At 41.1% G+C, this 27,723-nt stretch overlaps 1 protein-coding gene across 47 annotated transcripts in view, besides 6 other annotated features; it reads right to left on the reverse strand.

The window, feature by feature from the left end:
- The window catches only part of SLC38A9 (solute carrier family 38 member 9), an 86,491-nt gene extending 62,283 nt beyond the window's left edge, over positions 1–24,208 (reverse strand). For 13 of the 47 annotated variants that reach the window (NR_146165.1, XR_007058583.1, XR_007058582.1 and 10 more), the window contains exons 1-3: positions 24,090–24,208; positions 23,325–23,372; positions 9,719–9,865 (exon numbers count right to left, since the gene is read on the reverse strand). Coding sequence is in view for 41 of the 47 variants with exons in the window: in XM_047416799.1 (XP_047272755.1) it covers positions 9,719–9,831 (113 nt within the window). In the remaining 6 variants the exon portion in view is untranslated. Of the gene's footprint in view, positions 1–3,061; positions 3,166–4,462; positions 4,927–9,718; positions 9,866–14,611; positions 14,768–15,915; positions 16,014–16,194; positions 16,308–23,324; positions 23,373–24,089 lie in introns of those variants that run through there. The other 34 variants (XM_011543183.2, XM_047416792.1, XM_011543178.2 and 31 more) reach the window with 9 other exon arrangements.
- Positions 7,091–7,621: an enhancer, noted in NCBI's record as "NANOG-H3K27ac-H3K4me1 hESC enhancer chr5:54991046-54991576 (GRCh37/hg19 assembly coordinates)". NCBI's record gives its function as "activates a minimal SCP1, AML or CMV promoter by ChIP-STARR-seq in naive H9 embryonic stem cells {active_cell/tissue: H9 hESC(naive)}" and the evidence as "EXISTENCE:reporter gene assay evidence [ECO:0000049][PMID:30033119]".
- Positions 23,645–23,724: an enhancer, noted in NCBI's record as "active region_22556". NCBI's record gives its function as "activates an Ori minimal core promoter by ATAC-STARR-seq in GM12878 lymphoblastoid cells {active_cell/tissue: GM12878}" and the evidence as "EXISTENCE:reporter gene assay evidence [ECO:0000049][PMID:35858748]".
- Positions 24,295–24,344: an enhancer, noted in NCBI's record as "active region_22557". NCBI's record gives its function as "activates an Ori minimal core promoter by ATAC-STARR-seq in GM12878 lymphoblastoid cells {active_cell/tissue: GM12878}" and the evidence as "EXISTENCE:reporter gene assay evidence [ECO:0000049][PMID:35858748]".
- Positions 24,435–24,624: an enhancer, noted in NCBI's record as "active region_22558". NCBI's record gives its function as "activates an Ori minimal core promoter by ATAC-STARR-seq in GM12878 lymphoblastoid cells {active_cell/tissue: GM12878}" and the evidence as "EXISTENCE:reporter gene assay evidence [ECO:0000049][PMID:35858748]".
- Positions 24,435–25,103: a biological region, named in NCBI's record as "H3K27ac hESC enhancer GRCh37_chr5:55008415-55009058".
- Positions 24,460–25,103: an enhancer, noted in NCBI's record as "H3K27ac hESC enhancer chr5:55008415-55009058 (GRCh37/hg19 assembly coordinates)". NCBI's record gives its function as "activates a minimal SCP1, AML or CMV promoter by ChIP-STARR-seq in naive H9 embryonic stem cells {active_cell/tissue: H9 hESC(naive)}" and the evidence as "EXISTENCE:reporter gene assay evidence [ECO:0000049][PMID:30033119]".

The raw sequence follows: 27,723 nt of genomic DNA on the forward strand, positions 1-27,723 counted from the left end.
AGTTGCTTATCAGCTTAAGAAGCTTTTGGACTGAGACGATACAGTTTTTTAGATATAGGATCACGTCATCTGCAAACAGGGATAGTTTGACTTCCTCTCTTCCTATTTGAATGAACTTTATTTCTTTCTCTTGCCTGATTGCTCTGGCCAGAACTTCCAATACTATGTTGAATAGGAGTAGTGAGGGAGGGCATCCTTGTCTTTGTACCATGTTTCAATCCCACCAGCAATGTATGAATTAGGGCATAATCTCTTTTTTTTTTTTTTTTTTTAAGACAGTCTCACTCTGTTGCCCAGGCTGGAGTGCAGTGGCCCGATCCCGGCTCACTGCAAGCTCTGCCTCCCGGGTTCACACCATTCTCCTGCCTCAGTCTCCAGAGTAGCTGGGACTACAGGTGCCCGCCACCATGCCCGGCTCATTTTTTTGTATTTTTAGTAGAGACGGGGTTTCACTGTGTTAGCCAGGATGGTCTCGATCTCCTGACCTCGTGATCCGCCCGCCTCGGCCTCCCAAAGTGCTGGGATTACAGGGGTGAGCCACTGCGCCCGGCCCTAGGGCATGACCTCTTTAAGCAATTATTTTTAATACCCCATTTACTAGCCTTAATAAAATAGAAAATATATAACTACCTAGAGACATAATTTTTAAAAAATAAAAATAACTCTCACTATAATAGAAAAGAGAAAGAAATGAAAATAACATAATGAAATTGTATTTTAACATGTAAATTCCCAGGCATAGCTACACTCAAAGACATAATAAAGAAGGCCAATGCTTGCCTCTATTTGAAATTAATAAGACAATTTAAGAGAAGTAAAACTAGAAGCCATTCTGTATATGAAGTATAGGTAAATAAAAAAGCAGAAGTTTTGATAGACATAAGTAAAAACTAGTGTTATTTTAAAAAGCTAGTGTTAGAATAAGTATCAGGTCAGATCTGTATACACTAAACAAAGATAAAAATAACCTTAGTTGAAGTAGTGATAATATACCAAGATAAACTATAAACTACTGAAGTAGAAAAAATAAGGAAGCATGATGTTCTAGCAAATGAACCAGGGCTTTTTATAAGTATAGCACCAAAACAATTCCCAATATGATTTTACAGAAAACATATCTCCTAACTTAAAATAAGGCATAGAAAAGCTATGTAATAGACTTCGGGGACAATTTCAGAATGAGACTAAAAAAAGTATCAGGCAAGCCAAAGATGCATAATCTCAATGTGTAATTTTCACACCAATTCCTTATCATTGGCCTATAGTCAGCCACTGAGCTATAACAAGACACTGGCATTTCATGTGCCTCCATCAATTCAATAATATTTGGTTTTAAGTCTGCTTGTTAAAAGAAGTTTCAAATCTCTTGTTATATACTTGCAATTGGTTTTACTGCTTTTATAGCATAATTATACTATTACACTAAAACCCTTTTGACTAAATATATACTTGGATGTGTTACAATATTGAGCAGACAGAGAACAATGCTAGCCCAACCCTTCATATTATTTCCTCCAAAAAACCCACACTTTTGATTTGGCCCTAACGAGTACCAGTCAAACCCAACGAGGCTCCCTCTTTCTTCAGGCTTCTCTAATACAGTCCCCAACTTACAGCAGTTCAACTTATGATTTTTTGACTTTATGATGGTTTTATCTGGGTATTAAATGCATTTTCAACTTAGGATATTTTTGGCTTATGATGGGTTTATCAGGAACACCCCAAAATAAGTGGAGAAGCATCATAATAATAATGAGACAGGAAGAAAAGATGATAAAGCAAAACTAGCTTCCAGGCAAGTAAACAAATAGTAAAATCAATTAGAACAGATTGATCTAGGAAAGAAAGAAGCCACTCAGGCAAGCAATTATGGATACAAAAGGGCAATTAAGCAAACAAAACTATTTGAAAAGAGAGGAAGAAAGAAAAATATATAAGGACAATGAATTTGTAAGAATAAAAGGATTCTAATGGGACTAGAAATAAGATCCCAGTCTAACAAAGTTTGTATTTAGATTTTTTTTGCTTTTGTAGAAATTTGCTAAGTTTTGCATATATCTCGCTATGTTGCCCAGGCTGGTCTCAAACTCCCGGCCTCAAGCAATACACCTCCCTCAGCCTCCCAAAGTGCTGGGATTACAGGTGTAAGCCACTGTGCCTTGCCTGTATTTAGATTTAAGGCATCTCTGACTCTAAGGCCAGGATTTGCTAAACACTCTTCAAGTGTTTAGCAAAAAGACAGTTCCTTTGAGGAAAAGTAACAGTGGAAAGTTGGAGAGAAGAGAGGGAGGCCCAAGTGTGAGAGAATGGAAGGGAAAGAGGATGGAGAAGGGTATAAAAGTAATACAATTAGCAAGTTGGCCATCCGCACTAGCCACTGATTAATGACCAAGGTCCTAGTCCATCTGTTTAACACTGATGTCAAGTTCCTCAAAATATAATTTATACAACTCTGGAAACCACCCCTCCTGGGAAAACTACTTTTCTGTCTTTTGTTGAACATCTGTATAATCCCAGCTATGAAACCATCAAGCCTCAATTACTTCCAATCACTGTCACTGGGCCAGGATCTATCTACTGTTACCTATTAATAGATAAACTCTTCACTTTGCCTTAGTAAATATCATTGTACTAGATTCCCCAAAGGAACTTTTTGTAAAGTGCTAAGAGGACAATCTGAGATGTGGAGTTAGAGATGTCTTAAATCTAAATATAAACTTGTTAGACTGCGACCTTATTTACAATCCCATCAGAATCCTTTTATTCTCTCAAATTCTTTGTCCTTATATATTTTTCCTTCTTCCTCTCTCCTAAGACCTTAAGTACCAAAAAGAGTCAACTTAGGCTGCTCTATAGTGACAGTATTAGTGACAGGTAAAACAGAAAGACCAATTTACAGATGTGCACGCTAGAGGACATTATAAAAAAGAGTGCCACAGCATACCTAGGTTGTTTGAAGGGCAGTAGGAATGCTGCCTGTACCCCACTTGGCTTATCAGAGCACCTGAAATGTTCTCAGTTAGAAAAATCTTGAAACTTTTGGTTAGGACTTCATATTTACCGGATTCTCCATGTTAAAATGCAAATAGCCATGGAAATGTAATAGACTAAGTCTCTGACATATCCAATTGTTTTCCATTATAATACCAAGCTGACAACAGAGCCCTGGAGGGAATAGGACAGATAAGTACTGGTGAATAAGGGGCAGAAGAAAAATATGGTTTACAAAGAATTGCCTAAGGGGTTAAGTCTGAGTGAATTCCTGCCCTGGGTAATACTGGGCATACAGAGAAGGATATGAAATCCCTAGGCCCTGGGGAAAATGGAAGAAGAGGAAACAGAGATAGAGAAAGACTGAAAAACAAGAGAAGCTCAAAAACAAATTAACTATTTCACAATCTGTTTGTAGGCTAGCTGGATGGGCAACTTCCCCAGGGCATAGTCCGAGAATAGCAGCAATCCTGAATATGCAGCAACATCAAGCAATACTGAAAATCAGGTTCTATCTTTGGCTACCAGAAAGTCTGAGAAAAACAGGAAAGTAACCTCTTAGACTGGTACTTGCTAATGGAATGTAGCACATATATCAAGATAGGAGACTTCTAAACCTTTCTGTCCCTCCACTCACATTCCTTATTCCACCCCCAAATCAGGGGGAAAACTGGTGGGGGAGGGGTATGCAGAATAAAAAGTAGGCCTGCATAGTTTGAAAAAGCCCCCCAAATGACTTGACATATATTATTCCCCTATAACAACAAGCTCCTTCCTCCACCTAAGTTTAGTTAGACCCCAGTTCCACTAAAAGGATAAGCGAACCATCATACTTTCAGTCCAAAGCAGTTATTAAAATTATGTGATTTTTATTGCCACCTAGTGGAAGAGATAGAAAACCACAAGCTAAACTGAGGATAAGTAATCTAAATATATACTTGACATACTCTGACAGCCAAAGACAGTTTCTCAAAGTATGGTAATATGTAAGATGATTGTAAGTAGCACAAGAATAAATGCTATTTAAACTAGTTGGTATTTAATGCAATGCGTATTAGAAAAAAAGCATAAACAACACTTCAAATCCATCGTTTTACAAAGCTGGGTTGAGGCTAAATTAACCCTAATTTTAAAAAGTAAATAGATTTTTGAAGAAACATTCACTTATATTATACAGGTACTATTGAAGATATTGCCAAAGTCATAAGGTAACTCTAAAATGACTACAGTTTTGGAAATAGTTGTCCTAATCTGGTTCTTCAAATGGAAGATAATTTTCCCACAGTGTAGATGAGTTTTATTTATATATGTAATGTGAAGTAATCCATATTTTAACAGAAATAACAATGTTTGAAGGTACTTACATTTTTTCTCATTAAATAGTTTGTTTTCCTAAACAAATTATTCCACAAGCAAATTAGCATTTAGTACTGCTAAGTCTCTATATTTGCCTTTCTTAAAACATGCTTACCTAGGTAGTTATGCCATGATTGTAAATAGCTGATTCCCTCTCATTTCAACAAGTTTCATTATAGAAAATATATTGCCATTTAATCTACGCAGTTAAACAAATTTACAGAGAACTGTTTGAACTCCTGCCAACTTACTGTAATGGAATGCACTTTAATGACTTACATTCTGTTGTCACAGTGGTCAATTATTTATCACAGAATTTAGAATTTTCAAGAAAACCCTGAGCATTCAAGTCAGCATTCATTAGTGCTTATATTTACTGACATTGGATTATATAAGTAAGAATCAAAAGTCTTATTTCATTATCTTTTCTGATGGCCACTATAAATGACAATGATAAATTTCTCATGTGATAAATTTCACATTTCCACCTCTAGTTTTAAGAAAGACTAAAAACTTAAGTATGTGCGAATGAAAATAGGATTATCAAGATTAGCTTAAACCAACCATCTTTCATCTCTTGGATGAAGACCCATTGTGACTCAAAAAAATAAGGATTCTGTTGACATTAAGGAATAGGTAGGGTTGCTGATTAATTGTTGGGTGTCTACCTAACAGTATCTGCCACACCATCCCGCCTAAAGCACTCAGTTTCCCTCTGAGGGGGCAACCATCTTACAGTTTCCTATTTACTACCCAAAACTTCATTTATACATATTATATTTATTTATTTTTACCCAAATGGTGGCATACTATACACACTGCTCTGTACTTCAATTTTTCACTTAACAAAATAAGTTGAAGACTTGTTCCATTTTGATATGTAATAAAGCCACCTCCTTTTTAAGAGGAAAAAATATTCCATTGTATAAATGTGCCACAACTTATTTATCCAATCCTGTAAGAAATTTTGATTGCTTTTAATCTTTACTACTATAAAAAATACTGCATTACACAACCTTGTACACATACAATTTTTGACAATGTGAATTAATGCTTAGAAGTGAAATTACTGATCCATATAAACTTTGGAATAGGCTGCTGGCATTTTAGGGGGGAAATCACATTAAATTTATGGATTAAAATTTGAAGACTATGACATCTTCAGAGTCTTCCCAATGAGAGCAGAATATGCCTCATTTAATTCTTTTTATTACATCATATTTTACTGATTCTAATATACATATTTAAACACTTCTAATTAAGGATGAATCTCATAATCTAGAACACTTTTTCATCACTGCCAGAGCCAGGCGTGGTGACTCACACCTGTAATCCCAACACTTTGGGAGGGCAAGGTGGGAGGATTGCTTGAGCCCTGGAGTTCAAGACCAGCCTGGCCAATAAAGTGAGATGCAATCTCTGCAAAAAATAAATTTGAAAAATTAGCCAGGTGCAGTGGTGTGCACCTGTAGTCCCAGCTACTTGGGAGGCTAAGATGGACAAATTGCTTGAGCCCAGGAGTTCAAGACCAGCCCCAGTAACACAGCAAGACCCCTTCTCTACAAAATAAAATTTAAAAAAAAATTAGCTGGTCACAGTGGCATGCACCTGTAGTCCCAGCTACTCAGGAGGCTGAAGTGGGAGGACTGCTTCAGCCCAGGAGATCAAGGCTGCAGCAAGCCATGATTGCACCATCACACTCCAGTGTGGGCTACAGAGTGAGACCCTGTCTCAAAAAAAAAAAAAAAAATCACTGTCAGCAAGTGACAATATGATAGTAGTTATTCCTGATGGCATGACAGGTAACTGCCATCCGTGGTCATGTCAGACAAACCATTTAAGGACCATTTGAGGAAGACAGATGGGTCATGTTCTTGTTAGAAAACCTTTTGTGACATCTTCTGGTAAGATCAGGAAAGTGCAAGCATCAAAACTTAAGTGTCAGTGACCTGGAAGAAAATCTTTTCAGGAAATGTTACAGCACCAGGGTTCTTAATGGCACTAAGGACAATTCTGTGTGTGTGTGTGTGGTGGGGGAAACAACTATTTTGATGACTCTACATCAAAAAATAATTCAGAAGAATCATATTCTAAATGTGAGGTGTCAGTAATACCTTAATCAATATACTTTGTTTCTATTTTCATTTTTATAATTGCACAAGAAATATAGGATAAAATATCACATAAGTCCAAGAGTTCTCCCTTTTCCCTTTTCCCTTCCCTTCCCTTCCCCTCCCCTCCCCTCCCCTCCGCTCCCCACCCTTCTCCTCTCCTCTCCTCTCCTTTCCTTTCCTTTCCTGACAGAGTCTTGCTCTATCACCAGGCTGGAGTGCAGTGGTACGATCTTGGCTTACTGCAACCTCTGCCTCCCAGGTTCAAGTGATTATCATGCCTCAGTCTCCCAAATAGCTGGGATTACAGGTGTGCGCCACCACGCCCAGCTAATTTTTGTACTTTTAGTAGAGACCAGGTTTTGCCATGTTGGCCAAGCTAGTCTGGAACTCTTGGCCTCAAGTGATCCACCCACCTCAGCCTCCCAAAGTGTTGGGATTACAGGCATGAGCCACCGTGCGTGGCCCAAGAGCTCTTGCAGTAAATACAAAACAAAAACTCTAAGTCCTAAGAGGTTATTGCATCAGAGTTATGGGCAGCAGTTTTTCTTAGTGTTAAATTTTTTTAATATGCAATTTATAATCAGTAGCATCTCAGATTTTATGAAATCCTCTAAATCTTATTTTATGTCAGAAGCATTTTAGTTTCTCTCATATAGATTTTACACATTCATGTTAAGACCATTTCTTTTTTTTTTTTTATTGATCATTCTTGGGTGTTTCTCACAGAGGGGGATTTGGCAGGGTCATAGGACAATAGTGGAGGGAAGGTCAGCAGATAAACAAGTGAACAAAGGTCTCTGGTTTTCCTAGGCAGAGGACCCTGCGGCCTTCTGCAGCGGTTGTGTCCCTGGGTACTTGAGATTAGGGAGTGGTGATGGCTCTTAATGAGCATGCTGCCTTCAAGCATCTGTTTAACAAAGCACATCTTGCACCGCCCTTAATCCATTTAACTCTGAGTGGACACAGCACATGTTTCAGAGAGCACAGGGTTGGGGGTAAGGTCACAGATCAACAGGATCCCAAGGCAGAAGAATTTTTCTTAGTACAGAACAAAATGAAAAGTCTCCCATGTCTACTTCTTTCTACACAGACACGGCAACCATCCGATTTCTCAATCTTTTCCCCACCTTTCCCCCCTTTCTATTCCACAAAGCTGCCATTGTCATCCTGGCCCGTTCTCAATGAGCTGTTGGGCACACCTCCCAGACGGGGTGGTGGCCGGGCAGAGGGGCTCCTCACTTCCCAGTAGGGGCGGCCGGGCAGAGGCGCCCCTCACCTCCCGGATGGGGCGGCTGGCCGGGCGGGGGGCTAACCCCCCCACCTCCCTCCCGGACGGGGCGGCTGGCCGGGCAGAGGGGCTCCTCACTTCCCAGTAGGGGCGGCTGGGCAGAGGCGCCCCTCACCTCCCGGACGGGGCAGCTGGCCGGGCGGGGGGCTGACCCCCCCACCTCCCTCCCGGACGGGGCGGCTGGCCGGGCGGGGGGCTGACCCCCCCACCTCCCTCCCGGACGGGGCGGCTGGCCGGGTGGGGGGCTGACCCCCCCACCTCCCTCCCGGACCGGGCGGCTGACCGGGCGGGGGGCTGACCCCCCCACCTCCCTCACGGACGGGGCGGCTGGCTGGGCAGAGGGGCTCCTCACTTCCCAGTAGAGACGGCCGGGCAGAGGCGCCCCTCACCTCCCGGACGGGCGGCTGGCCGGGCGGGGGGCTGATCCCCCCACCTCCCTCCCGGACTGGGCGGCTGGCCGGGCGGGGGGCTGACCCCCCCACCTCCCTCCCGGACGGGGCGGCTGGCCGGGCGGGGGGCTGACCCCCCCACCTCCCTCCCGGACGGGGCGGCTGGCCAGGCAGAGGGGCTCCTCACTTCCCAGTAGGGGCGGGCCGGGCAGAGGCGCCCCTCACCTCCTGGACGGGGCGGCTGGCCGGGCGGGGGGCTGACCCCCCCCACCTCCCTCCCAGACGGGGCGGCTGGCCGGGCGGGGGGCTGACCCCCTCACCTCCCTCCCGGACGGGGCGGCTGGCCGGGCAGAGGGGCTCCTCACTTCCCAGTAGGGGCGGCCGGGCAGAGGCGCCCCTCACCTCCCGGACGGGGCGGCTGGCCAGGCGGGGGGCTGACCCCCCCACCTCCCTCCCGGACGGGGTGGCTGCCGGGCGGAGACGCTCCTCACTTCCCAGACGGGGTGGCTGCCGGGTGGAGAGGCTCCTCACTTCTCATACGGGGCGGCTGCCGGGCGGAGGGTCTCCTCTCTTCTCAGACGGGGCGGCCGGGCAGAGACGCTCCTCACCTCCCAGACGGGGTGGCGGCCGGGCAGAGGCGCTCCTCACATCCCAGACGAGGCGGCGGGGCAGAGGCGCTCCCCACATCCCAGACGATGGGCAGCGGGGCAGAGACGCTCCTCACTTCCTAGATGTGATGGTGGCCGGGAAGAGGCGCTCCTCACTTCCCAGATGGGATGGCGGCGGGGCAGAGACGCTCCTCACTTTCCAGACTGGGCAGCCAGGCAGAGGGGCTCCTCACATCCCAGACGATGGGCGGCCAGGCAGAGACGCTCCTCACTTCCCAGACGGGGTGGCGGCCGGGCAGAGGCTGCAATCTCGGCACTTTGGGAGGCCAAGGCAGGCGGCTGGGAGGTGGAGGTTGTAGCGAGCCGAGATCACGCCACTGCACTCCAGCCTGGGCGCCATTGAGCACTCAAGACCATTTCTATGTATTTTATTTTTTCTTACATTTTCTCATTGGAAGTCTATTTATTTTTGCCTGTTTTGTAAGCAGCTACTTTATTGAATTCTCTTACTGTTTATAATTTTTTTGTGGATTCTTTTGGGTTTTACAGGTATACAATGAAATAAAATTTAAACTCAAATTATTTTAAACTATCTGCTGAAATTTTACCTCAATGAAGATGAAGATTTTCTATTACTTTTACTCTTCTACCTCGAGCACTTAGCATATTACCTTGCGCAAAGTGGGTAATCAATACATATTTGTTAAATGAATTATATCAATGTACCTTACTTTGTAAAGTTACCCCAACCACTCCCCCAACAGAGATGTTGAGTTTAGTGAAAAAAAAAAAAAAAAAAAAATATAAACCAGTAAATAGTATTCCTATTTACTTCTCTCCACATGTATACACACAAATCCTGTAAGAAAGTGGATATTTTATAATCAAATCTATACATGTTTGGTTATAATTAGATGTATTTTAATCATTAAAGACCCTAATTATGAAATGTGTTTTATTTTAAATGCTTACCTTTTGGATCTTAGATCCGATGGCTCAAACTGGATATTCATAGGTCCAGGATCTCTTTCATGATCTACCTCAGAGGTGCCAAGATGCCTAGAATCACTATTCATATTTGCCATTTTTCTCACACTCTAAGCACTGAAGAAGTTAGTCCTACACAAAGAAGATAAATAATTTAGTTTAATTTTAAAATATTTTATTATCCATCACTAATAAATATTCATGAATAACAAATTGGAAAAATACTGGAATTTGCTGAAGATATCTTAATGAGGTATATGCCTGAAATATTTATCAGAAACTTGCTAACCTTAAATGGAGTTATTTCTTGTTTTTCAGCTTACTAAAAAATAAGTGGGGCAATTCATTTTCAGTAATAAAACAGATTAGGCTATTCGGACTCATTTTTCCTGCGGAAAAAAAACTAAAAATACTGAATAAAATATTTTTAAAATCTTTGAAAAGCATCAAAAACAGTAAGGAAAATCAGGCCATTTGTAGGTGAAATTAAAGAACCAAGAGAGGAAAATGACTGAAAGAAACTGCTGCTGCCTGGAGGGTATTTGCTGTACCAGAAGAATTCCAGCTGAGGTTTTCAAAGCCTTGTGTAGTATTTGGGAAACAGAAGTCAAAGCTCAGTGTTCATCCAAAGTAAGGAATTATTATAATAATAAATCATCCCCTTTCCCCACTTCCCCACCACAATACAGCTGGAACTATAAAGACCTTTGCAATAAGAGTAAGGTTTAACAAGAAGTAAAATGGCTTATTCCCTCACAAGGGAACTACAAAGAAGTCTTCTTAAAATGGACCAGAGGCTATAGTGTCCACACCTGTAATCACAGCATTTTGAAAGGCTGAGGCAGATCGCTTGAGGCTGGGAGTCTGAGATTAGCCTGGGCAAAATGGCACAACCTCATCTCCACTAAAAAACAAACAAAACTAGCTGGGCATGGTGGCACATGCCTGTAGTCTCAGCTACTTTGGAGGCCGAGGCTGAAGCGGGAGGATTGCTTAAACCCAGGATTTGGAGGCTACAGTGAGCTATGATTGCGCCACTGCACTCCAGCCACCTGGATGATGGAGTGAGACCCTGTCTCAAATCAAACAAAAAACAACAAAAAAACAAACTGGCCAGGAGTGGTGGCTCACGTCTATAATCTCAACACTTTGGGAAGCAGAGGTGGGTGGATCACTTGAGGTCAGGAGTTTAAAACCAGCCTGGCCAACATGGTGAAACCCTGTCTCTACTAAAAATATAGAAAAATAGCCAGGCATGGTGGCACGCTCCTGTAATCCCAGTTACTTGAAAGGCTGAGGTAGGAGAATAGCTTGAACCCAGGAGGTGGAGGCTGCAGTGAGCCAAGATCGTGCCACTGCACTCTAGCCTGGGTGACAGAGCTAGACTCATCTCAAAAAAATAAATAAAAAAACACCCAAAACTACTGACCACATCATGTGTGTGTATGAGCTTTTTTGTTACCATAAACTGCACCTCATGAGAATTTGCAAGGAACACTTAAAGCTATGAATGTAATTTAAGATTAACCTGCTTGGTAGCACTTCTAGGTAACCAATAGAAGCAAATGTAAATCTTTCCTGTAAAGATACACCTTCATCGCAGGCCTCAAAGAAGTCCTGCTAACAATCATTTAAAGACAACAAACAGTGAGTCAAAAATAACCTAGCATATGAGGAAATAAAGTACTATGAGTGAGAACAAGAAACAAAAGCAGAAACAGACCCACAAGAACTTCAACTACAAAAATCAATGAAATAAAAATATAAAATAATGTTTCCTATGTTTAAATAAATAACAGAAAAAGTAGACATTTTCAAAAAGTGACTTAGTATGTTTAAATAAGGACCAGAGTGAATTTTTAGGAAAAAAAAAATTCAAGAGCCCAAATTCAACACTCAATGAATGAGTTTAAAAGTTGAAGAGAAAATTAACGACATAGAAGATAAGTCAGAAGAAACTACCTAGAATGTGGCAGAGAGAGAAAAATAAAGGCAGAAAATGTGGAAGGTGTTTAAGAAACATGAAGGATAGAATGAGATGGTCTGAAAAGCATGTAATTGGAGAATCAGAAAGTAAGAAGACAGAAGTAATATCTGTAGAGATAATGGCTGACCATTAAAGATACCTATCTACAGATTTATGAAATTTAATGAATGTAAGAGAATAAACATTACAGGGTTTGAAAAAAATAATTACAGCTGGGCACAGTGGCTCACATCTGTAATCCCAACACTTTGCGGGGGTCGAGGTGGGCAGATCACTTGAGGTCAGGAATTCGAGACCTGCCTGGCTAACATGGTGAAACCCCGTCTCTACTAAAAACATAAAAATTGGCCAGGCATGGTTGTGGGCGCCTGTAATTCCAGCTTCTTGGGAGGCTGTGGTGGGAAAATCACTTGAACCAGGGAGGCAGAGGTTGCAGTGAGCCAAGACTGCACCACTGCACTCCAGCCTGGTTGTCACAGAGTGAGACCCCAATTAAAAAAAATAAAACAAGCCAAAAAAAAAAAGAACTAAAATCCCAGACCAAAGGGGAAAAAAAAAGTCAGACGAAGGTCTTGGAATTAAAATGTCCAAAGGTCCTTATGTTGTCCAGATCAACATCACACATTGATGTTGTTATTTTAAGGTAACTATTAATAGAAAGCAGTGTATAACCTTAAATTTAGTAGAGGGGAAAGAAGAAGGATAAAAAATAACTGAACTAAAGGAAAGCAAAAGAGGAGAAAAAAATATAAAATAGGTGGGAAAAAATAGAAAGCACAAGATAAATAAGATCCTCTCATTCTTTCTTCAGCCTATGCTAATCATGATATCTTTCCTATCACTATACAGAAGCTGTTCTTATTGGATCACTAAAGATCTCCACATTGGTAACCCCAAGGGTTATTTCTCAGTCCTTAACTTACTTGACCTATTGGAAATATTTGCCAAAAGAATCACTTTCCTCCTTGACAAGCTGGATTCACTGGGCCTCCAGGTTTTTTCCCTACGTCACTGGTCCCTCCTCCTTCTCTGTCTCCTTTGCTGCTTTCTCATTTCTCAGATCCCTTTACAGTTGCAGAGTTCCAAGGTTCAGTCTTGACCTACCCTTGATCTCTTGGTAATCTTATGCAGTCTTATGGTTTTACTATCATAGCTCGTGCTGCCCAATACAGTGGCCACTAGTTAGGTGTGGCTACTTAAATTAACTAAAATAAAAAAATTCAATACCTCAGTCACACTAGCTACATTTGAAGTGCTCAAAATCCACATGTGGCCACATGTGTCTACCATATTAGACAGTATAGACATAAACATTTTTCCATCATTGTAGAAAGTTCTATTAATTTAGGCAATGACAATTTCCACACTAATATCTCTAGCCTAAACTTCTTTTTTGAATTTCAGGCTTGCTTATTCAACTGCCTACTCAACATCTTTAGCTAGATGTAATAGACAGCTCAAACCTAACATGTCCAAAATGGAATTTCTGATTTTCTTCCCCCAAAACTACCCCACCTAGTGTTTTCCTATTTCAGTTGATAAAATCTCTTTCTACTTGCTCAGGCCAAAATTCTTAGAATCACTCATGACTTCTTTTTCTCACAGTCCACATTCAACCCATTAGGAAATCTTATTGGCTTTTCCTTCAAATATATCCAGAATCTAATCACTACCATTTCTTACCAAGATTACCACAACAGCATTCTAATGGAGCTCCCTGCTTCTATCCTTATCCCCCTACACTGTACTCTACACAGCATGTCAAGAATTGTAGAAAAGGGTAATAAGGAATTTGGCCTTACCCAATTGGTTGTTAGAATTAAAGGGAGTGCTACTGACACCCAGTGGGTAGAGGTCGGGGATGCTGATGAAATAAATAGGTTTTAACATGTAAAAGCAAGGGATGTAGCTTTATTACTTACCCTGTAAATTACTATTATTATCCTCATTTTATAGATAAGTATACACAGCAGAGAAGTAACTGATCACAAAGTTAGTAAGTGGCAGAGTTGGAATTAAAAACGAGGCAGTCTAAATCCAGAGCCTGTTCTCTTTACCACTATGCTATGCTGTCTTTCCTGTTCTTTGTCATTTCTTTCTCAGTCCCTTGTATCTTTCACTTTCTTCTGTTACTTGTTACTGCCCAGACTACTTAACAAGTACAGTTTTATTGTTGCCATATTTGTTTAACGGACTCATATGTCCACTTTTCTTAATTTTCTAAATGTAACATTTATGAAACAGTAGGAAGAAAATAAAGTTTTTGAATTAGAAATCCTGTATCTAACACTCACTACCTGTGTAACTTAGCATTAACAATTTAATCTCCATGAGACTATCTCTGCATCTTCAAAATTTAAACAAATTAATGTTTGAGGATTAAATGAGATTATACATATTACATTTTAGCATTAATTTTTTTTTTTTTTGAGACAGGTTCTCACTGTGTCACCCAGGCTGGAGTGGTGCAGTGGCATGATCATGGCTCACTGCAGCCGCGACCTCTTGGGCTCCAGTGATCCTCCCACCTCAGCCTCCCAAGTAGCTAGGACTACAAGTGTGCACCACCATGCCTGGCTATTTTTTTTTTTGGTAGAGACGGAGTTTCACTATGTTGCCCAGGCTGGTCTTGAACTCCTGACCTCAAGTAATCTTTCTGCCTCAGCTTCCCAAAGTGCTAGGATTAAAGGCATGAGCCACCATGTCTGACCTCATTTAGTACTTTGTAATGGGAAAAAAAATGTTCAAATGTATTATCATTTCCATCAAAAACCAAATGAAAATACTTGCTCTTTTTTTTTTAAACATAGGCAGCCTCTTGAGGTTTTCCCTTTTTTAAGTGAAAAATTTTTCTTCAGTCATGAACATCTAGGCAAATGATGTCAACCTACCACTGATTATTATGTGACACAGATGTTAGTAACATGTTCTATTTCCCAAATATGTGCATTTTCTTTTCTCTGTTGTTTTGATTTCCACTTCCCTTTTCTCTTCTGCTTTCCTGCCCAACGTTTAAGCAAGTCAAAGCTCTCATTAGCTTAGTCCTACTAAAGACAAACAAATAAAGTTAAATAAAAATATTAAAGTAGTACCTTACAACAGTAACTTAAAAAAAAGTAAAACCAAAATACCACCATTTCCAAACAAGAAGGGCTTTATTTCTATATCTTATGAAGGGAGTGTGATGGTAAAAATGATTATCTATTTTAAGATGTGACAACTAAAATACTGAGTAATGGTAAACTCTGAACAATATATTCATTCAACAAGTTCTCAACAAGTCCCTACAATATACTGAGGTATTGAAAAACATAGAAAAAAAATTTAAGTCATGATCCCTACCCTCAATAAAGTTAAAAAAAAAATCATTTATGAAGCCTAGAGAAGTCAAGTAACTTGTCCTAAATCACTTGAATAATAAAACATATTAGGATGCTAATAACCAATTCCAATTTTCAGTTCATCATTTCACTTTCAGCTCAAATCTATACCAATTGCTAGCTCTAGCTGTCAAATTAGCTTAGTAATAGATCAGTGTAAAATTTATTCTTTTAAGATAAAAAGAATAAGTAAGTTGACTCTTTGAGACACAGATTCATATAATGTATTATACATATTCAAAAATCTATAGCATAAAAATGTTCTTGACTATAAAGTACATAATTCAGTGATAATTGTTACAAAAATCCCAGTAAGATGGGACCAACTGAGATAAAGTTACTCATTACTGTTAATTTCATTAAAATAGTTGAGCAGCAAAAAACAAAAGCCTGCTCTTTCTCTTCCTTCCTTTACATAATAAAACTGATTAACAATTCGGTTGACTTGTTTGGTCTTAAGTTTTAAAACTAAAAGGCAGAATTTTTCAAAATTAACCTACTAATTTATGACATTAAGATGGAATGAAGTTAGGATTGATAGAATCTGTTAAATCTTCTTAGTTTAAAACTGTCAAATTGACTAATTAACTTGAAAAGATGATTCCCCAGATGTAATAAATGAAAACATTCTATATAAATAGGCCTGGCATGGTGGCTCATTCCTGTAATCCCAGCACTTCGGGAGGCTAAGGCAGGAGGACCCTTTGAGGCCAGGAGATTCAGAGTTGAGACCAACCCTGGCAACATGGCAAGACCGTGTCTCTACAAAATTTGATTGATATATATATATGCATGCCAGGCATGGTGGTGCTCACCTACAGTCCCAGCTACTCAGGAGGCTGAGGTGGGAAGACAGTTGGAGCAAGAGGGTTTGAGGTCTCAGTGAGCTATGATCACACCACTGCAGTCCAGCCTGGGCGGAAGAGTGAGACCTTGTCTCAAAAAATAAAATAAAATACAATACCAACAGAAAATACATTTTAAATTAACCTGGGTGTAGCACCAGAATTAAAAGCTTAGGAAAGAAATAAACATATTGTAGAGAAGTTCTATTTAGAATTGTATTATAGCTTTATTGATTTTTAAAGCATTACCTCAATTTAAAAAATTAAACATTTTAGAAGTTGAAAAGATGATTGTAGGGAAGCCAGTATCCTTTCATCAAAAAGAATAACACAGAACTTGGGAAAAACTTATTCAGGAAACTCTGAAACACATGAAAATTTTAAAAACCTATAAGTTAGTAAGTACAAGCATTTAGAAAAATGTCAAACTTTTACCAAAGTCTGTGTAAGAGTTTACTATTATTATTTTTGAACTTAACGAAGGTTAATAAAATTTTTATATTGTAGGGAAGAACAGCAATCCATAGAATTGTTAAGAAATGCTAGAGAAAAATTTTAATATTGATAAGTAGCCAGAACCGTATCACTCCTAAATCTCCAACAATGCATAAAAGCACTTTCAGAAAGAACTGCAAGGCATTAATTTGTCTGAATTACACACATTGGGTAATTTGAGATTTGGGCTATTCTGGTGCTATCAAGTAGTGTGTGGTGGTTGATAGCTCACAAGTAAGATTGCCTGGATGTGAATCTTGGTTCTGCCATTTATTAACTGTGCAACTTTGGGCAACTTACTTAAATTCCCTAAGATTCATTGGTTTTGGAGATAATAAAAATACTAGTCTTACAGGGTTTCGGATTAAAATGAGATAATACATATAATGTGGCTGGTACACACTGAATATTCAACAAACATAGCTATCACTTTTATTATGAATTTGGCTGTTTAAAACTAGAAAAATTACTCGTTGGAAGGACATACAAGAAGAAACTTTTTTTAAAAGAAAAAGAAAAAATATGTATTGCCTTAACTTAGCGGCCTGAACAAAATCAGCTGATGTATCTACATGCCTTTAGTATAAAGTGAGCAAACTCAGCAAGGTAAGAAAAATAAAAAGGTTGACCTTTATATAATAGAATTATTGAACTGCCACAAACAAGATAGCACTAAAGGATATCAAAAAGACAAAACTTGGTGTCATTTTTGAAGGAAAATTGAGAGAAAAACACAAGTTAATAGAAGATAGTGGGAGATGGAACTAACATTTATTTATTGAATGCCTAATACTGGCCTAATGTTTTACATGTTATTGTTTAAATCCAATAAATCCTTAGAATTTGGGAAATGGGTATTACCTTCATATTACAAAAAAAAAAAAGAAAGAAAGAAAGAAAAAGAAAGAAATTAATTGAAGCTCAGAGAAGTAATTTGTCCTAAATCACTAAGCTAAGAAAACCATACTTGGGATTGAAACCAGGTCACTTTGATTCTAAATGTTATTTCCAGTATACTCTGATGTCTGCCTTAAAAAGGAGGAGTTAGGTTGGAAGACAAAAGAAGCATCTGAAAATCAGGTCTTCTTTGTTTAGTTTTGTAAATATAAAATAATAGCTATAATGGCAAATGGCCTTAAACTCTTTTTTTTTTTTTTGGTGACGGAGTCTCGCTCTGTCACCCAGGCTGGAGTGCAGTGGCACAATCTTGGCTCACTGCAACCTCCGCCTCCCCATTTCAAGCAATTCTCCTGCCTCAGCCTCCCGAGTAGCTGGGACTACAGGTGCCTGCCACCACACCCAGCTAATTTTTTTGTATTTTTAGTAGAGACGGGGTTTCACCATATTGGCCAGGCAGGTCTCGAACTCCTGACCTTGTGATCTGCCTGCCTCGGCCTCCCAAAGTGCTGGGATTACAGGCAGGAGCCACCGTGCCTGGCTGGCTTTAAACTCTTTAAGACATAATCAGGGCTAGAATGAGTGAAATTTCATGCCTGGGTATCCGGATTACACATTAAACACCATGAATCTGTTTTTCTTGAAGCAAGCTAGTTTAGGTAAATTTCTTTTGTTGCAAAATTTTTTGTCTCAAGGCTCAATATTTCCTTACCCAGCAACAACCCTTCCAGTGGCAGTGAAACAAGGGAAAGGACAGAAGCCAAGTCAGAGTAGCAAAAACATATCTGCCTAAACAATGGCAGAAATATATGGCTATACTTTCTAATTTACTTTGTAAACCAATATACTCTGTAGTATTGGTTCCTAAACTAAACTGAGAATGTGGGTGAGTTTAGAGAGAGAAGATCCTTTCACTTTCTGGAAATTAATACTTTACTTAAAGATTGAAAGTGAAGAAACCAGGAAAGAGGAGAAATCTAGAAAGATCCTTGGATTTCAGTGAACCTTATCAAAAAGTGAAATCAAGGTTGGGGAAAAATGTAAGGGCCACTGAGGAATTAAAATTTCCAGTTTAGTCACCTATGTGTATTTGTTCTGAGCAAATCCAAAGTTCTGCAGCATAGCAGAATTAGCTATTTATTCTAAATAAGTAGAAAACTGATGATTTCAAATAACAAATCATAAATGAGGAGTTCAAAGTCCCTGGTGCCTTTCAAAGATTTATAATATTCAAGTAAATATGAAGAACTGTAAGAAAACTGGTAATTTGCAGTTGTCTCAATTAGTCAATTAGCATGATGTTAAATTTTCAACAGAAATTTAATGTCCCCTCCTTTTTTCCCCACACAGAGCCAAGGTGGAATTTTTTTATTTAAATTTTTTAATTTTTATTTTTTTGTGTAGATGGTGCAAGTTTTGTCACAACAGAAACAACTGTACTCGTTGCTCCTGAGAATTTCAGGTGACAACAGATATGCTTTCTTTTTTTTTTTTTGAGACAGGGTCTCACTCTGTCACCCAGGCTGGAGTGCAGTAGTGCCATCTGGGCTTGCTGCAACCTCCTCCCGCCAGGCTCAAGCTATCCTCCCACCTCAGCCTCTAAAATAGCTGGGATCCCAGCTGTGCGCCACTATGTTGCCCAGCCTGGCCTCAAGTAATCTTCTTGCCTCAGCCTCCCAAAGTACCAAAGTGCTGGGATTATAGGCATGAGCCACCATGCCTAGTCTTAAAGCTTTTTTGAATGTCTTGATGAGAAGTATAAAATATCCCGAAGTTTGATGACTTAGGTTGAGAGGTGAATTAGAGTTCCACAGCAAATATTACATAGGTGATAATGCAGAATAGTTTATCAATGATTAACAAAAATGCTAAATACTTCTATAGTATTAATTTGTCAGACATTACATTGATATAATTTGGTAGGGGCTAAATATACAAGATGACATAAACAGACATATTCCAGCCTGGCCAACATAGTGAAACCCTGTCTCTACTAAAAGTACAAAAATTAGCCAGCAGTGGTGGCACACACGTGTAGTCCCAGCTACCCGGGAGGCTGAGGCAGGAGAATTGCTTGAACCCAGGAGGCAGAGGTTGCAGAGCAAGACTCTGTCTCAAAACAAAACCCAGACATAATCACTTTTAACATCTCACTCAATCTCTGAGTTTTAAAACAAAGTCCCAGATGCAAGACCACTAAGTCAAATCTAAGTCATTAAATGAGTCTCTAATTGTTTAAGATTGGTTTTAATAAGGAGTCCAGCTATGATTTGAATGTTTGTGTCCCGTCCAAAATTCATATGTTGAAACTTAATTGCCAATGTTATAGTATTAACAGGTAGACCCTTTTGGAGGTAATTATGTCAGGAAGGCAGAACCCTTATGAATGGAGTTAGTAACCTTATGAAAAGTTTGAAGGGAACTAGCTAGATCCCTTTTGTCTTTCCATCCCTTCCCCCATGTGAGGACACAGCACCAAGGCACCATCTTGGAAGCAGAGACCGGGTCCTCACCAAACATCAAATCTGCAGGTGGCTTGATCTTGGACTTCCCAGCCTCCACAACTGCTAGAAATTAATTTCTATTGTTTATAAATTACCTAGCCTCAAGTATTTCATTAGAGCAGCACCAAGAGACTGAGATAGGTCCCAGTAGGGAATGAACAGCTTAGTTGACTTGCTTGGTACTTTCGACTTTTATTTAAAATGTTGGTGACTGAGCCAGGCATGGTGGCTCATGCCTGTAATCTCAGCTACTCGGGAGGCTGAGGTGAGAGAACTGCTTGAGCCCAGGAGTTCGAGATTGCAGCGAGCTACAATGGCACCACTGCATTCCAGCCCAGGTGACAGAGTGAGACTGTCTCTAAAAGAACAAAAAATGTTAGTGCCTGTACTGAAGCACTTCTCTCCGTAAAAAGGACATAGAGAGCAATCAAAGTAAACTGGTATGACATTATTTTAAAAAGGTATTGACTGTGATTATTGGCGTATCTCAAAGAATATCAGCCCTTTCCATACTAGGCTCAGAAATGTCTTTTCACAATTCTTTGCAAAAATAAATCTATAGAATCTATGCCAAGATGCTAGCATCAATCTGCAATAGAATACACTAGCTTGTGCCCAAATAAATGTGACTATGGACCCACATACAACTATTATATATGTTCTTTCTCAGAGACTAAAAATGAATATTACTGAATACTTTTGTGTATGTTATAGAGTTTCAGATACTACATTTATACTCAGTGTCCTAGGCTAGAGGTTGACATATTTTTTTCTGTAAAGGGTCAGATAATAAATATTTCAGGCTTTTTGAGCCATATAGTTTCTGCAGCTACTCAATTCTACCTGTTAGCATGAAAGGCAATTGAGTGTGCATGGCTGTGTTCCAATAGAACTTTATGAAAAAAATATATCTGTCAGCAGGCCAAATTTGGTCATAGTTTACTCACCTCTGTAGTATGCCAACATAAAAGCAAATGGAACCACACCACAAAAAAGTCACCCTGGTGGAAGCAGTTATGCTATGTATATATATTTTCTTCTGTATTAGTCTGTAACAGCTATAAACTCCAATAACAAACTTATCTAAATCTCTTCCTGATGAATCATTTACTGGTTAGCCAATAGGATCTATAATGCTCCTATTCTGATGTGACAGTTGGAACATGCTTCCAACCTGATCAATAAATGCTTCAAAAGGCGTTAAATTTGACAGTGCTGGAGGATAGTGTGGTCTCACAAAAAAATTACCAAAGCAACGCTGTGGTACCAAAGAATCTCTCCTTCTACAATGGGAACACTAAATGCTCTCAAGTTATATTTCAGTGGTAAGAAAGAAAAAAACCCTAGCAAACGACAGAAATTTAAGTATGTTACAAAATGCAGGCCTGGTAGACATTTTTAACCTCTAAGTGATTTTTTTTTTTTAACTTTTAAGCCCATATATACTTTTTAAAAAATACCATATAGGTCCAGTGTGGTGGCTCATGCCTGTAATCCCAATGCTTTGGGAGGCTGAAGCAAGAGGATTGCTTGAACCTAGGAGTTCAAGGTAACAGTTAGCTATGACAGTGCCACTGCACTAAAGCTTGAGTATCAGAGCAAAACTCTGCCCCTAACCCCAAAAAGAAAAAAAAAATACTAAACAATACTATTTCAATTTGTAGTTCAGGTTGGTATTCCATCCTCCTATGCTGAGTTTACCCTTTATTGTAAGTATTTAGAGTATTATAAAATCACAATTAAAAGCATATTATTTTATGTATGTAACTGAAATATATAGTATTTAAGATTGTGATTAGAAATCTAAGGCTAACTGGCTGGGCGTGTGTGGCACACGCCTGTAATCCCAGCACTTTGGGAGGCCGAGGCAGGCAGATCAAGAGGTCAGGAGATCAAGACCATCCTGGCCAACATGGTGAAACCCCATCTCTACCAAAACACACACAAAAAATTAGCCGGGTATGGTGGCGTGTGCCTGTAGTCCCAGCTACTTGGGAGGCTAAGGCAGGGGAATCGCTTGAACCCGGGAGGCAGGGGTTGCAGTGAGCTGAGATTGCGCCACTGCACTCCAGCCTGGCAACAGAGCAAGACTCCATCTCAAAAAAAAAAAAAAAAAAGAAAAAAAAAAGAAAAAGAAAAGAAAAGGAATCTAAGTCTAACTGTTCTCAGAAGTCTAGGGGAAGGAAAGGTAAATTTTATTTTCTTAGAAACAAAGCAACTATATAGGTGACAACTTTTTTTTTTTTTTTTTTAAGACAGGATCTCCCTCTGTGGCTCAGGCTGGAGTGCAGTGGTGCAGTCTTGGCTCACTGCAACCTCCGCCTGCCGGGCTCAAGCAATTCTCCTGCCTCAGCATCCCAAGTAGCTGGGATTACAGATGAGACGCATACCACCACACCTGGCTGATTTTTGTATTTTTAGTAGAGACAGGGTTTCACCATGTTCGCCAGGCTGGTCTTGAACTCCTAACCTCAAATGATCCGCCCACCTCAGCCTCCCAAAAGTGTTGGGATTACAGGCGTTAGCCACCGCAATCCGCCGAACCTTCTATCTTAACACGAAGTTTGTAGTTGTTTATGAGGCAGAGAGATTTTTCTCAAGTTAGGACATGGGTAATTTTGACCTATTGAAACTTTTTTTGTTTAGTTTTTGTTTTTGTTTTTTTTGAGACGGAGCCTCACTCTGTCACCAGGCTGGAGTGCGGTGGCACGATCTCAGCTCACTGCAACCTCCGCCTCCTGGGTTCAAGCGATTCTCCTGCCTCAGCCTCCTGAGTAGCTGGGACTGCAGGCATGTGCCACCACACCTGGCTAATTTTGGTATTTTTTTTTAGTAGAGACGGGGTTTCACCATATTGGCCAGGATAGTCTTGATCTCTTGACCTCGTGATCTGCCTGCCTCAGCCTCCCAAAGTGCTGGGATTACAGGCGTGAGCCACGGCACCTGGCCAAAACGTTTTTAAAAAATCTTTCTCCTCAGCAGCTGCCTATCCTACATATGTCAGATCTTTGTCATGTCTGAAGGTATTAAAAAGAAAAAAGAGGCTGGGCGCAGTGGCCCACGCCTGTAATCCCAGCACTTTGGGAGGCCAAGGCAGGCGGATCACTTGAGATCAGGAGTTCAAGACCAGCCTGGCCAACATGGTGAAACCCCGTTTCTACTAAAAATACAAAAATTAGCGGGGCGTGGTGGCGGGCAGCTGTAATCCTAGCTACTCAGGAGGGTGAGGCACGAGAATCGCTTGAACCAGGGAGGCGGAGGTTGCAGTGAGCCGAGATCACTCCACTGCACTCCAGCCTGGGCGACAGAGCGAGACTCTTGTCTGAAAAAAAAAAAGAAAGAAAAGAAAAGAAAAAAGAAAACAAGGTGGAGGTACAACTTACAACTTATAGTGTGCTCATCTACAGAGCACGGCAATGGATAAGACACTGCCTGGGAGTCATGACAATTAGGTGTTGGTCGAGTTTGCCATTAAATGGTTACCTGGTGTTGAGTAGGTTTCTCCAACTCGGTGGACCTCAGTTTCCTTCTCTGTAAAATGAGGAGAATGCGCTTGACTAGCTGCTCTCAAACCCCTCTTCCAGCTTTACTATGCTGAGATGTCAAGCTACCCACTATCAACACACTCACTCTCACAACTGAGTCGTGTGAAAAGCGTGGCGAGGGCTTACCAGTCATGGCCCTCACCCCCTCTGTGGTCCTAGCTCAAGGCCCAAAGGGGGTTCCTCCCTCATGTTCCCCCTCTAGATGTCCCCAACTCGGGATGGAGAAAGGTGCTCCCAGCCGTGATCGCGCCACCTCACTCAAGCCCAAGCGACGGAGCAAGACCCTATCTCAAGAGAGAGAAAGAAGGGTGCTCCCATTCCTGCAAGTCCCACAATTCTCCTACTCCCTCCTTCTCTCACCCGAGGGTCAGGGTGTTCATTTACCCCAACCCTATCTTTTCTCTAAGGCTCCAGCTGACACCGACTCCCATAGACACTCGGATTTCCTCAGACCCCGAGGGACTCCTGACTTTCTTTCCCTGAGCCCTTGAGGAGCGCGCGCCGTGCCTCCGGAGCAGTCTCCGCGGCTCCAGGCTATGGCCTCCCTGAGCCCCAAAAGAAGAGACGGTTCCGATGCGCTGCAAAGAACTATCCCAGGTGACAGCCGGCTTCGCCCCAACTTCAACCCTTCCCGCCGCCTTCCCTCGGATACCTTCCCACCTCCCCGAGGGGCGAGTTTGCTAGACGTGGGAACGTGATCTACCTGAGCAGGCCGAGCCTTCAACCTCGGAGAACTAGACGAGAAGATAAAGATTCCCTTCCCAAATTCTCGCAATTTGCGACCGCGGGGCTCCTAGTCCAAACAGGAAGCGGCAATAGCCTGGGTCGCAGGGGCCGGCGGGAGTTGGAGTTCTGAATGCGCCAAGCCCGCGGTCGCTGTCAAACCTCTCGCCGCTACGGACTACAACTCCCAGAGGGCTCTGCGACGGCCAGCACGCCCATCACCGCAGGGCCCAGCCCCGAGGCTTCAGGAGGCTGGGCAGCCGGCGCGCCCAGGTGGGCGAGTCCAGTCGGAACTGCAGCCCCGAGTTTGCTCCAGTTCCTTGTCCCGGCTGGAGGCTGGGAGGGGTAGTAGAAGGAATGCAATCTCTTGCCATTCATAGAGCCCCGGAGGCCACGTGAGAAAACGCTGATGCGGCACCTCCATCGAGGGATCACCCCTCTTTTGGGCTTTCCTGGCGCGTGTTGTATGATCTGGTTACGTCCTTGGACCCTACAGACACAAAGGGAAGCTGGTTTGAAAAAACTGTTGAGTTGGCATGCTCCCTCCGTCGTCTAGATATTTGGGTTTGTTTTTTAAAAATGTGTTTGCAAATTAGTCTCTAGGCTAAAAGGGGCTTTAGAAGGATTTTAGAGGCCCACCCCACATACCCAGCAATTTTCCCCAAAACCTCCCCAAGTAAACATACAGTCTAAGTAAAATTAATGTGCTTGTTATGAAAATCAGTTCAAGGTCAGTCCCTGAAAAGCATATGGCCACCCTAAGCTCTTCTTACAAAGGAAGCCAGTGGCTCTTTTTGTTTCTTTTTCTTTTTTCTGTTTAAACCAGAAGAAACAGTGTCTGTAATGCCAGAAAAAAAACTAAAAATTTAGACCGGCTCCGTGGCTTATGCCTGTAATCTCACCATTTTGAGAGGCTGAGGTGGGAGAATCACTTGAGGCCAGGAGTTGGAGACCAGTCTGGGCAACATAGGGAGACCCCATTTCTACAAAAGAATTTAAAAAATTAACTGGGCAGGGTGGCACCTGCCTGTAGTCAAGCTTACTTGGGATGCTGAGGCAGGAGGATCATTTGAGGCCAGGAGTTAAGGCTGCAGTGAGCTATGATGGTGCCACTGCACTGCAGCCTGGGTGACAGAGCAAGACCCTGTCTCAAAAACAAAACGAAACAAAACAAAAAACCTAAACTTGAAAATTCAAATTTAGGCTGGGTGCGATGGCTCACACCTGTAATTGCAGCACTTTGGGAGGCTGAGGAGGGCAGATCACAAGGTCAGGAGTTTGAGACCAGCCTGACCAACATGGTGAAACCCGTCTCTGCTAAAAATACAAAAATTAGCCAGGCGTGGTGGTGTGCACCTGTAATCCCAGCTACTCTGGAGGCTGAGGCAGGAGAATCGCTTGAATCCGGTAGGCGGAGGTTGCAATGAGCTAAGATTGTGCCACTGCACTCCAGCATGGGCGACAGAGCGAGACTCAGTCTCTAAAATAAAATAAAATAAAAATTCAAATTTAACAAATAGCTAACATTGAATGCCAAGAATTTTACGTGTATATCTTTTTAAGTCTTTACCACAGTTCTGGAAATGATAATATCTCTTTAAGTCTTTATCACAGCTCTAGAAATGTATATTTTTCCTGTCTTACAGAAAAGGAAATAGTCCCAGAGAATTTAAGTGCCTTGTACAAGGCTAAACAACTACTAAGTGGCAGAAGATCTGGAATTCATACTAAGATCTTATCCCAAAGCCTGCGTGCTCTCAAACATTGCGTCTATTATGGAGGGCTTGACAAATGCAAGGCAAACGATTTAATGAATGTTGTCTTTAAGGGAGATAAAAGTTGTTTTGCTGATGGTATTCTTGTTCAAAAACTTTTTTAACTGTTCATTGGCCCTGCCTTCAAGTCAGGGCTGGTCAAGTAACACAAGTCAGTAATACATTCTTTTGATAGTTTCAGTGATAGCAACCTTTCTTTTTTTTCTGCATTCCAGGCTGAGAAAATAATTTCAAGCAAGGCTGGGAAACACAAAAGTAAATAGTATGAAATGATGTCAGCAAAAAATGGGAAAAAAGTAGGGAACTCAAAAATGAATAAGCTGGCAAAACTGTCAGGAGCACCTTTTTTGGAAACTCTGAAACTGATAAAAAAAACTCACAAAATCCAGGGGAACATGTAATGAAGAAAAAACTGCTGAATTTTGGTAAGAGAGTTCTGTGGTCATCTTCTATTCTCCAAGTTGTCAGTGGCCTTGAAGATGGCAGCCACATTCCTGGTGTGGGTTGCTGGCACCAGAGGGAGCACTATGGACCTTATCCTCAAGGAATTGTAGGTGTGTTTTGACCTCCCTGATGGTTTCCTGAAGGTTCAACTCAACGGCTTGCCTTTGTTTCACCTGCCTCAGAGCTTCCTCAGGGCTCAGGCAGCTTCCCAGGCAGTGTTTGTCAAAAACATTAAAGGCAAACAGCCAGTGTCACAGAAAGCAAGGTATGAAAGCCAGGACAAGCAATAAACAGACCAAAAATCCTGGGAAGGAAGAGGCTGGAGAAGGAGATAGTTGGGGGAATAAAGGCTTTGGAAAGCTTCATTTTATTCTGGGGAATCTAGAAGGCCATCGGCATGCCCTGGTCTGGATGCATACTCAGAGAAAAACCTAAGAACACCGTAAACTCTCACCTCTGACTGACCGTCAGCTTTCATGCAAGCAGGAAGTGAAGGCTAAGGTGGCGTTGTAAACTACCTCGTTAAGCATTGAAGGGGTGCCAGAACACATAGCTAACTGGCAAAGACTGGGAGTGTTTTCTCGCATTTTGGGCTTTTATCTTTTTATTTTTTGGTTTGAGACATTTAATAAAAGAAATAAACAACAACAAACTCTGGTGGGGAGTGGGAGAAGCAGATGTCCATAATTACCATATTATATACAAAATGTCCAGTTGTCAACAAGAAAAAATTATGAGGCATGCAAAGAAAAAAAGTATGGCTTATTTATAAGGAAAACATTTTTAAAGAACATTCCTTTGGGAAGCCCAGACATTGTCAACTGTCTTCAATATGCTCAAAGAACAAAGAAAATAATAGACAATAACTAAAGGAAACCAGGAAAAGTGAATTGTTCAATAAATAGAGGATACTATTAAAGAGGTAGAAATTATAAAAAGAAAGCAAATAGAGTTGCTGGAGTTGAAAAGCACAATAATTGAAATATAATGTTCACTGGAGGGGTTCAATAGCAGATTTGAGCAGGCAGAAGAAAGATTGGGGAATTTGAAGATACATCAAGAGTATACAGTTTGAGGAACAGAAAGAAAAAATAAGAAAAATGAACAAGACCTGTAAGGATTGTGGGACACTATCAAACAAACATTTGCACAGTGGGAATTCCAAAAGGAGAGGAGAAAATAAAGGAGTGTAAAGAATATTTGAAGAAATAATAGCTGAAAAATTACCAAATTTAATGAAAGACAGGCGTCTACACATCTAAGAAGCTCAATGAACTTCAGGGCGGATAAATTGAAAGGGATCGACACCAAGACAAATTGTGATTAAATTGTTAAAAGACAAAAACAGAGAATTTTGACAACAGCAAGAGAGAAATGACTGGTCATGTATAAGGA

Source organism: Homo sapiens, chromosome 5, assembly GCF_000001405.40.
Source record: "Homo sapiens chromosome 5, GRCh38.p14 Primary Assembly".
NCBI classification, from domain to species: Eukaryota; Metazoa; Chordata; class Mammalia; order Primates; family Hominidae; genus Homo; species Homo sapiens.